Here is a 12,399-nt window from a genome sequence, read left to right as displayed (position 1 = left end):
GCAAGCCTCATGGTAACCTCAAATTGAAAAACAACAGATACACCAAAAAAAACCCAATAAATTTAAAAAAACATAAACCAGAGAAAAATTACCTTCACTATAAGGAACACAGGAAGGAAGGAAAGAAGAAGAAGGAAGAGAAGACCACAAAACAACCAGAAAACAAAAACCCTAATGGCAGGAGTAACCCCTTACCTATCGATAATAACATTGAATGTAATGGGACTAAACACTCCAATAAAAAGACATAGGGTTGCCGAATGGATAAAAACAAGATCCAGTGATATTTAGACTACAAAAAATACACTTTACCTATAAAGAGACAGACTAAAAATAAAAGGATGGAAAAATGTATCCCATGCAAATAGAAACCAAAAAAGAGAAGGAGTAACTATACTTACATCAGACAAAATAGATTTCAAGACAAAAACAATGAAAAGAGAAAAAAATTATATAATGATCAAGGGGTTAATTCAGCGAGAGAATATAGCAGTTGTAAATACATGTGCACCCAATACTGAAGCACTCAGATATATAAAGAAAATATTATTAGAGCTAAGGAGAGAGATAGACCTCAATACAATAATAGCTGGAGACTTCAACACCCCATTTTCAGCATTGGATAGATCATCCAGTCAGAAAATCAACAAAGAAACCTTGGACTTCATCTACACCATAGGCCAAATGGACCTAATAGATATTTACAGAACATTTCAACTAATGACTGCAGAATATGCATTCTTCTCTTCAGCACATGGACCATTCTCAAGGATAGACCATGTATTTGATCACAAAACTACTCTTAAAATATTCAGAAAAACTGAAATAATATCAAGTATCATATCTGATGACAATGGCATAAAACTAGAAATCAATAACAAGAGGGATTTTGGAAACTGTACAAATACATGGAAATCAAGCAATATGCTCCTGAATGACCAGTGGATCAATGAAGAAATTAAGAAGGAAATGTAAACATTTCTTAAAACAAATGAATATGAAAATAAAACATACCAAAACCTATGGAATATATGAAAACAGTACTTAAAAGAAAGTTGATAGCTACAAATGCCTATATCAGACAAGTAGATAAGTTTCAAATAAACAACCTAAAATGTATCTCAAAGAACCAGAAAAGGAAGAGCCAAAAAACTCCAAAATTAGTAGAAGAAACTAAATAATAATGATTATATCAGAAATAAATGAAATTTAAATGAAGAAAATAATAAAAAAATCAATAAAACAAAAAGTTAGTTTTTTGAAAAGATAAAGAAAATTGATAAAACTTTAGCCAGATTAAGAAAAAAAGACAGAATACCCAAATAAATAAAATTAAATCTGAAGACATTATAACAAATACTGCAGAAAATTAGTGGATCATTGAGGTTACTATGAGCAACTATATGCCAATAAATTGGAAAACCTGGAAGAAATGGATAAACTCTTACACCCATACAATCTACCAAGATTGAACCATAAAGAAAGCCAAAACTTGAACAGATCAATATCAAATAACAAGATCAAAGTCATGATAAAATGTCTCCTGGCAAAGAAAAGCCTGGAAACTGATGGCTTCACTGCTGAATTCTACCAAACATATTGGTAGAATTTTAAAAAGAACTAATACCAATCCTACCTGAACTATTTTAAAAAAGGAGGAAGGAATACTTCCAAACTCATTCTATGAGGCTAGTATTGCCCTGATACCAAAACCATACAAAGATACATCAAAAAAAGAAAACTACAGGCCAATATCCCTGATGAACATTGATACAAAAATCCTCATTGAAATCCTAGCAAACTTAATTCAACAACACATGAAAAAGATCATGCACCATGACCAAGAGGGATTTATCCCAGGGATGCAAGAATGGTTTAACATATGCAAATCAATCAATGTGATACATCATACCAACAGAATGAAGGACAAAAATCATATGCTCATTTCAATTAATACTGAAGAAGCATTTGATACAATTCAACATCCCTTCATGATAAAAAAAAATGCAAAAAACTGAGTATAGAAGAAACATACGTCAACACAACAAAAGCCATATACAACAGCCCACAGCTAGTATCATGCTGAATTGGGAAAAACTGAAAGCCTTTCCTCTAAGATCTGGAAAAAGACAAGGATGCCCACTTTCATCACTGTTATTCAACATGGAAATGGAAGTCCTAGCTGGAGCAATCATAGAAGAGAAAGAAATAAAGGGCATTCAAATTGAAAAGGAAGAAGTCAATTTATACTTGTTTGCAGATGATATAATCTTATATTTGGAAAAACCTAAAGACTCTACAAGAAAACTGTTAGAACTAATAAACTCAGCAAAGTTGCAGATACAAAATCAACATAAAAAATCAGTGGCATTTCTATATTCCAGCAGCAATCTGAAAAAGAAATCATGAAAATAATCCCATTTATAATAGCTACAAATAAAAGGAATTCACTTACCAAAAAAGTGAAAGATCTCTACAATGAAAACAGTAAAATATTGATGAAAGAAACTGAAGAGGACACAATACAATGGAAAAATAGTCCATGTTCAGGGATTAGAAAAATTAATATTATTAAAATGTGCATACTACCCAAAGCAATCTACAGATTCAATGCAATCTTTATCAAAATACCAATGACATTCTTCACAGAACTAGAAAACACAATCCTAAAATTTATATGAAACTATGAAAGACCCAGAATAGCCGAAGCTATCCTAAGCAAAAAGAACAAAACTGGAGGAATCACATTACCTGACTTCAATTTATACTACAAAGTGACAGTAAACAGCACGGTACTGGCATAAAAACAGACACATAAACCCATGGAACAGAATAGAGAACCCAGAAACAAATTCATACACATGCATTGAGTTCATTTTTGACAAAGGTGCCAAGAACAGACATTATGGAAAGGATAGTCTCTTGAATAAATGGTGCTGGGAAAACTGGATATCAATATGTGGAAGAATGAAACTAGACCCCCATCTCTTACCATATACAAAAATCAAATCAAAATGGATTAAAGACATAAATTTAAGACTTCGAACTGTGAAAATACTAAAAGAAAACATTAGGGAAACTCTCTAAGTCATTGGACTGGGTAAAGATTTCTTGAATAATACCCCACAAGCACAAGCAACCAAGCAAAAATGGACAAAGGGGATCACATCAAGTTAAAAAAAAATTCTGCACTGCAGAGGAAGCAATAAAAAAAGTGAAGAGAAAACCCACAGAATGAGAGAAAATATTTGCCAACTATCCATCTGACAGGGGGTTAATAACCAAAAGATATAAGGAGCTCAAACAACTCTATGAGAAAAAAAATCTAATAATTCAATTTGGAAATGGGCAAAAGATATGAATAAACATTTCTCAAAAGAAGACATACAGATGGCAAATAGATATGTGAAAAGGTGCTCAACATCATTGATCATCAGAGATATGCAAAACAAAACTGCAATGAGATAGCACTCACCTCAGTTAATATTAACTTTTTTGGATAAATTCAAAAGGCCATAATAAATACTGGCAAGGATGCGGAGAAAAGGGAACTGTCATATACTGTTGGTGGAAATGTAAATTAGTATAATCATTGTGGAGAATAGTTTGGAGGTTCCTCAAAAAATTAAAAATAGAACAACCATATGACCCAGCAATCACACTGCTAGGTATATACCCAAAAGAAAGGAAATCAGTATATACAGGAGATATCTGCCCTCCCATATTTATTGCAGCACTATTCATAATAGCTAAGATTTGGAAGCAACCTACAAGTCTATCAATAGATGAATGAATAAAGAAAATGTGGCACATATACACAGTGGAGTACTATTCCGTACTCTAAAAAGTACAAATAAAATTCTGTCATTTGTGACAACATGGATAAAACTGGAGGTCTTTATATTAAGTAAAATAAGCTAAGTACAGAAGGACAAACTTCACATGTTCTCACTTATTTGTGGGAGCTAAATATTAAATATAAAAACAACTGAACTCATGGAGATAGAAAATACAATGATGGACAGCAGAGGCTGCGAAGGGTAGTAGGGGAGGAGGGAAGTAATAATGGTTAATGAGTACAAAATATCTAGTTAGAATGAATAAGATCTAGTATTTGACAGAACAATATGGTGACTACAGTCAACAATAATTTATTACATATTTTATAATAACCAAAACAGTATAAGTGGAATGTTTCTAACATAAAGGATAAATTCTTGAAGTAACAGCCCAAAAAATAAAAAATTGAAAGGATGACTATTGCTGTACTTTTCTTCCAGAACCTCCTCTCCTCTGCTCCTGAGAGCATTCTTCTCATTGATATTGGTAAATTCTCCTGTTCCCAAGAATTTCTATAATATCCCCTTTTACTCTAATGGGGAGGTGCTCCTAGAGTTTCACAAGGAACATGATGGCAAGGTTTTCCGATGAGTGAAGCAACATGACATTGATTTCTCTTGCTTTCTCAGTAGATACAAAATAAATACCAGGCAAAACTGCTCACTTGTGGGTAGCCTGCACGTACACACACACACACACACACACACACACATGTGTACACTCATACATACATACACATAAAGATTTTAACTTCAGAGGAAATTTCTAGTTGCTATTGAGTTTTTCAAAACTGTTGCATGAGACTTCTTCACTTTTTAGCATTTTCATATAAAGTTGGGAAATTTATTTTAACCCAAACAATTTTTTACCTAATTCTCCTTCTTGCTATCATTTTAATCATCCTAAGTGTACTAGAACACATGACAAAGTCACACAGAAACATTATTTCTCCACTTCAATGCATTAGAAGAAATTTAACAATGAGTCTAGGATCTAGTTATATTAAGGAATCCGGTGGAAGAGGGAATCACTTATAAAAGAATTATGTTATTTGGATAGATAATTAATTAAAAAACAAATTCTAGGTCGGGTGCTGTGGCTCACGCTTGTAATCCCAGCACTCTGGGAGGCCGAGGTGGGTGGATCACCCGAGGTCAGTAGTTCAAGACCAGCCTGACCAACATGGAGAAACCCTGTCTCTACTAAAAATACAAAATTAGCTGGGTGTGGTGGCACATGCCTGTAATCCCAGCCACTTGGGAGGCTGATGCAGGAGAGGTTGTAGTGAGCCAAGATTGCACCATTGCACTACAGCCTGGGCAACAAAAGCAAAAATCCATCTCAAAAAAAAAAAACAAAAAATTCCAAGACTTCCACTAACTAAAGACTTCCTAAGTAGAAAAATCAATATGACAGAATTCCATTTAACTTTATTTGTATATCCCCTAGAGCAGTGGTTCTGAAACTTTGTGCCTCAGAATCACCCAGGAGACCCACCTCCAGAGTGTCTGTCGGTAGTTCTGGGTGGGGACTAGAAATTTGTGTTTTTAAGAAGTTTCCAGGTGATGCAGCTCCTGCTGGTCCAGGAACCACACTTTGGGAATCCCTGCCCTCAAGTACACAGTACAATGCTAGGCACAGAGCAGCTACTCATACATTCTGAACCAAATTGAATTATTTGAACCATAGTTATGGCAAGATAAGATTTGACTCATATAGATTCTTAGGCCAGGATTAGCCAAGTTTGTGATTAGTAAAGTGGTTTTAAAAGGGTTTTCCTATGTTATAGACATAGTTTATAATCTTAAGATCTGCTTTGTCACGCCTTTCCAGGATATTGTAATTGAGTTGGTGATAAGCTAGTATAAGTATGGTCCTGGGATTTTTCTTCTAGAAACTTCTCTTCTGACTTGCAATCTGATGTGACTCAAGGTCACAGATTACCAGACCATCCAATTATTTAGCAGCAGAGTTGTCTTGCTATACCCTTCACCCTACTAAGAGTCTTTACCTTTGCTGACCCCAAGAGAAGAGAATTTATACTGTAAGACTGACAGTCCTACAGAACTGAGAATTCTCTATCAATGGGCAAAGGCAGCCCTATCCTTAATTTCAACTCCTTTTGATATAGAAGGGATCATTCTCAGCATCCACATGCTGGAAAATATTATTGGCATTATTCATGAAACAACGGCCAGGACAGTGACCACAGGAGTTCTGTGCATAATGACCTGCTTAGTGGGTACCCTTAAAAGATTTACTACATCAAGTTTTTATTAAGGCACCTCTTCCAGGCTATTGTTCTTTTCATAAGCATCACAATGGTTTCTCAAGCAGTTTTAATGTGGAAATGTGAAAATGTCAAGCATTTCTCCCCCACTCACCACTCCTCTCTTTCTTTTCCCAGGTTGTGATGAATAACTTAAGCCCAGCCTGGAAATCATTCAAAGTATCTGTAAATTCTCTATGCAGCGGAGACCCAGACCGCCGGCTAAAGGTCAGAAATCTGTGTCCAAGAAATGTGATTTTTTAAAAAAAGTATTTAATCTTCCTATTTCTTTTCAAAATAATATTGACAAACCCCAAATTTTCTTTACACTGTACCCAACCCTCTCATCTTTTAGCATCTCGATGGAAGAAACAAGGGCTATTTCTTCTTCTAGAGCCATTGAAGCTTATGTGAAAGCCCAAAATCAATTCCAATTATGTTATATCAAGAGGCAAAACCCATGTCTTCTGAAAGACAAAACCATGGCAATAAATTCAGGTTATAAATGAGAGTTATTAAAATGAAAATAGTGTCATATCAATTATCTACTGTTATATAACAGAATAATGCAAAATTTAGTAGCTTAGAACTAGAAGCATTTATTTAGCTTATGATTCTGAGTACTGACAAGTTGGGATGAACTAATCTAGGTGATTCTTCTGTTGATCTTGCCTGGACTTTCTCAGGCATTTGTGGTCAGCTACCCAAGAGGAGGGTGGTTCTGCTTCTGGAGGTTGGCTGGCTGTGGTCTGGAATGAGAGAAGGGGTGGGGCCATATGGCTCTCATCATCCCCAGGCCAGCTTGGACTAACACACACAGTGAACTTAGGGTTCGAAGAATGCAAGAACAGAGCCCCATAAGACCTCTTTAGGGCCTAGGCTCAGAACTCACACAGGTCACTTCCTCCACAGTCTAGGTCAAAGCAAGTCACATGGTCATTACAGATTTAAAAGGTAAGGAGATAGACTACATCTCTTGGTGGAAGAAGCTCCAAAGTATCGTGGCCACTTTTTCGATCTATCACGAAGGCTTTCTGAGCACCTTGGGAATGTAAAAGTTGGAAGAAAATATGCATTCAAAGTCACCAAAGGAAGACAGTAGGCTGAACGCCAGGAGCAGATTTCAGGAGATGTTTTTATAGGCCATGCTCTGGCCTTTCCTCTACCTTGAAAGTCTAGACGTTCCTTGTTGTCAATGGCCCGGAGGTGATTCAACCAATTAAGGATAACTAAGCAAATCTACTGGAGACTGGTGCCTATAAACTAAAAGGCCAATTGATTAATGTTCAGTGAAAAACACAACCATCAAGCAGTAATATCAGCTTCACCAGGGCATTTTCTTGTGGGCAAACCACAGAGAAGACAATCATCAGAAGGTTGCTGTTATTGCCTGAAATCAGAATTGGGTAACTGAGACAGTTAATGGCTTCAGACTCTGAAAACCAGGAGTGCCCACCTCCACTGTCCATCAGGCAGACTAAACATTCATGTTGACTTCTCAGGACAACTAATCCCCTGGAAAGTGTTAGCTGGGTAGCTGGACATTGATGATGTTTGCCTTAGTAGTTTTACATTTTCCTCACTACTTTTGCCCCACAAACCTTCTGACAGATACAATTTTTTGATTCATTGATATGATCTGTCAGGTTAGAATCCCATCTGATTGGTTAATCTCAAGCTCTTTAAGGTTGCTTTATATGTCTTTGCTTAAATCCATTCTGTATGAGCTTTGCAGTTGAACTCTTAGCAGACATGTTCACTTCCATGTTCTTGAGGAGCAACTCAGAGTTGCACCTGGTATCTCTGTAAGAACTGAGATATTTCAAGCCTCAACCCCACTGGAAACCTTCAAGCCAAAATCAGGATTCCTGGCTATTTGGTCCTTCATGTGGAAGCTCCTATGCAGAATGGCCAAGAGCTGTGACTTCAGGCATAGGATGGCAATTATCACTTACACGTTGAGTAGCACCCTCCTATTCCCAGGGAGGTAAATGACCCTCTTTGGCCAGAAATAAAATAATACCTCCTTTAGCCATATATCTACTTTTTATGAGGAGTCATTAAACTTTTTATGAGGAGGATAAAAGGAGAGGGTCATCTGTAATTGAATAAATAAAAATGCAGAAAAGGAACACTTTGTGGCTTTCTGAGTGCTCTGCTGCCTGTAGAGAAATAAGTAGGAGGTAAGGAAATAGATGATTGATTGATAGATGATAGAGGAGAGAAAGAAAGAATGTGAGAAGGAAGAATAGAGGAAAAGAAGGAAAAAAAGAAGAAAGGAAAGAAAAAGGAAGGAAGGGAGGGGGGAGAGAAGGATCAGGGTTTCTCCACACGTGCACTATTGACGTTTGGATTTTCCTGTGGGGAGCTGTCCTGTGCCTGTAGGATCCTTAACAGCAACCCTAGCTACTAGATGCCAGTAGCATTTCACCCCCGTCACATACACACTCACACACCCTGCTGCCTGTGTCAGTCTGAAAATCAAAAGTGTATTCAGACATTGCCAAATGTTCTCTAGAGTGTAAAATCACTTCCAGTTAAGAACCACTGGTATAGTACATCAAACTTATTATACATTAGAGTCACCTGGGAGCCTTGTTAAACTCCTCAAGAACCTATGAAAATGTTTTAATTTCTTTCAAAATCAGAAGAAGAGAATGAACATGTAAGATTAACTAAAATATTCTAATTTTTTTTTCTTGCATCAGAAAGCAACGAACTTTTTAGGGTCCATGAAAATCTGTTGTGTTAAAAGGGGCCCATGAAGGCAAAAGTGCCAATGAAAGTCACACTGTGTTCCTATCCCAAACATCTTGTCATCTCATCAGAAAATACTTCAGTATGTATTGCTAACATTGCTAACAGATAATAAATCTTTCCATTAATAAAACTATAAAACATTATTCTTAAGAATGCTAACTATACTTCCTTAATGCCACCAAATATTCTGCCATTGTTTATGTTTGCCAGAGTCTCTCATTTATTAAACAATTGTTTCTATTTGTTTAAGTGAAGATTTAAACAAGGTCTAAGCACTGTATTTGACTGAGATGTCTCTGAAGCCTCCTTTAATCAGTTCGTTCTCGCTCCCCTTTTTTTTCCCCCTGTAATTTACTTAGTGAAGAAACCAGGCTGGTTTGTCCCATAGCATTTCTCACATTCTGTGTTTCCTATAAATGCATATTTAGAACTTGATCAGATTTCAGGGTCTGTTTTCTGGCAAGAATGCCCCAGTATTATTAACAATTTATGGATTTTTTAAATATATTTCAGTGTTTCCATCTATTTCAGTTATTATAATTCCTTTGAAATCTTAAGTTGTCCCATATTTGGCCAATAAAAGCTTCTTCAAGTTGGCTCTTGAATTCTTTTGATATAAACTTAGTAACGTCCTTGCTTGATAACGTCCTTGCTTTCTGGAATGAATTCTTGACCTAAATCAATTTTGAAATTTTACAATTCTTTTTCTTCATTACATATGTATTTCTATGGATGCAGAGCCATATTTTAATGTCTCTCAAAATCATTCCTCTCCATAGTATTTAAGGTCTCTGTGGACCTATAGCCCATGGAACAGTCAGGTTCATTTGTTTCATTTTGTTTTCAATTTTTAGATATTTTTTCAAATTTAATTTTGCCTTATAATTATATTAAATGTTTACATGGTTCCAAAGTCAAAACTGCAAAACAGGGAATATTCAGAAAAGATTAACTTCCATTCCTGTCTCTTCTACCTTTTACCTTCATTTTGTAGCATATTTTGTATGCTACGTTTTGTAGCATATTTTAATACCTGGTACAGCTAGCCATACCCACTTCCGTATTCCTTGCCTTCTTAAGGGTTTTCCTGGATATTTTACCTGTTTTTTTCATTGAGCTTTATAAACAACTTATCTAATACCAGAAAAAAACCCAAAACTTGATAATATTTTATTGAGATTGCATTTAACTTGTGAATTAGGCAGAATTTTCTCTTTATAATATTGAATCTTCCTATCCTAGAATATGGCATGTCTTTTCATTCATTCAAGTCTCCTTTTGTGTTTTGCAGGAGTGCTTAATATTTTTTCTCTTATTTTCTATGTACCTCTTAGAACCTCTATTGTTTGCATAAATGAAGGTCATTGAATTTTTTCTTAAACTAATATTTGTTCTCTTATTGTTTATAGTGATTTTCCCATTAACTTTTTTTCTTTTTCTCTTTTCTTTCTGTTTTTTGTTTGTTTGTTTGTTTGTTTGTTTTTGAGATGGACTCTTGCTCTGTTGCCCAGGCTGGATTGCAGTGGCGCAATCTAGGCTCACTACAACCTCTGCCTCCCAGGTTCAAGTGATTTCCCTGCCTTGGCCTCCTGAGTAGCTATGATTACAGGCGTGTGCCACCATACCCAGCTAATTTTTATATTTTTAGTAGAGACAGGGTTTCACCATGTTGGCCAGGCTGGTCTCAAACACCTGACCTCAAGTGATCTGCCCACCATGGTCTCCCAAAGTGCTGGGATTATAGGTGCCCAGCATGTTTTTTTCCAAATATATAATCATACTACTTGAAAATGGAGATAGTTTTTATCCTTACCCCTTTTTTTCTTCTAATACCCTCAATGTGATAGATGGCAGTGGAGGTAGAGGGCCTCCTTGTCTTATTCATGAACATAGTAGAAAATTCTATAGTGTTTCCCCATTAATTCTGGCAGAGATTAATTTTTCTGTAGAGACAGAGTCTTGCTATGTTGCCCAGGCTGGTCTCGAACTCCTGGGCTCAAGCAGTCCTCTCCCTCAGCCTTCTAAAGTGCTGGGATTACATGCGTGAGCCAATGCACCTGGCTGGGATTCATTTTTTAATGTAACTCTAAAGGTATCAGACACTCAGTGCTTTCTCAGCCATGTCTACTGAGCCTTAATTACCTATGATATTCAATACAATTAAATACCTTAAATATTCAGATCATATTTTTACTAGTTATGGTAACCCAAGAGATAACACCACAACATGCTAAAATGTCTTCTGAACTGCATAAAGGCATTACACTACTACTTTCTATGGCATCCTAGACATGCCATATTCTAGGATAGACTCAATATATATTATTTCTAAAGCATATTAGAGTTTATAAGGCCCTTATAAATATCATAATTTCATTTACTTCTAACCACATTGTGAGGTAGGTTCCATTATCTTCATTTTACAGATGAGGAAACTGAGACTCAAAAACCCATGTTGTTAAACATCAAATTCAATGTTGTTTTAATCAGATTGCACTGCCTCTATTTTATTGTATTATACTTATTAGAAAAGAAATCATCCTGATAAGCCTATTTCTTGACCTTTTCAACCAGAATGATTTATTTACCATTATGCTAATATTTAACAGAAGATTTGTCTATATGTAACATTTCATAAGGTCTGAGACACTAAAGGAAAGTCTCTCAATAAAACTATAACACAATGCTTACTTATCAATGTATGATTTATAAGAAAATAAATTACTCTCCCAGAAATATGTACCTCTTAGATTCTAGGAAATATGGCATTAATCATTTTATTTGATTTGATCAACATATTGTTAATACCCAGAACATATTCTTTAGGAGGCAATGTTGATGTTCAGAATAGATTCTTCCAGAGAGTGTTCTTAGAGAAGAAAATGGTGAGAGGGTACTATCAGCAAGTATTTATTCATAACCCAATTATGCCTAGCACTGTGGAAAACTGTCATGCCAGAACAATCTTGACAAACACCATATAAGCACCCTGAGACCATTTAATCACATGTATTATGGGGCCATTTTCTATCTCTTTCTCTAATTTCCAAACCACACAAGTAACATGGATACTTTCCCCTACACAAAGTTCATCAAGCATCATCAGAGTATGGTTGATAGGAGCTATTTGCCTTGAAGGGGAAAACTAAGGTGATAGCACCAGTTGTTCTGGATCAATTCGCCCCCATGCCTTATGTAGGAGAGAGGCCCAGGTTATTAACTGAGCCCATGGTGCAGTAAAGGAAATGGCAGAAGAGAAGAAGAAGCAGGTCCCCAAAGTCAAAGTAGAAGGGAGTAAGACCCAGGAACCCACTAAGGGGTGAAAGGAGGCCCAAATACAAGTCTAAAGCAACCCCTGAATGACATTTCACCCATGATTCATCTCGCTTGTTCTTTGCGCCGTCTATCTTAGGCTGCCATGCCTGGTTGGTTTAAAACAGCCATGTTCTTGAGTTGCCTTCTGACACCCCCAAAGCTGGATTCCTGGACAATCAGAAAAGTGCTCTGTTAAATCAGAATCCCACACTCAG

General features: G+C 36.1%; 1 protein-coding gene across 10 annotated transcripts in view; it reads left to right on the top strand.

The window, feature by feature from the left end:
* CPNE4 (copine 4) overlaps positions 1–12,399 on the top strand; it is a 506,038-nt gene that overhangs the window by 363,595 nt on the left and 130,044 nt on the right. For all 10 annotated transcript variants that reach the window (NM_153429.2, NM_001388326.1, NM_001289112.2 and 7 more), the window contains one exon: positions 6,248–6,337. In NM_153429.2, the coding sequence (NP_702907.1) occupies positions 6,248–6,337 (90 nt within the window). The remainder of the gene's footprint in view (positions 1–6,247; positions 6,338–12,399) is intronic.

The sequence above is a fragment of the Homo sapiens genome, chromosome 3, assembly GCF_000001405.40.
Source record: "Homo sapiens chromosome 3, GRCh38.p14 Primary Assembly".
Lineage (NCBI taxonomy): Eukaryota > Metazoa > Chordata > Mammalia > Primates > Hominidae > Homo > Homo sapiens.
Note: the sequence above shows the minus strand (reverse complement) of the source record. Positions and strands in the feature narration are given on the sequence as shown.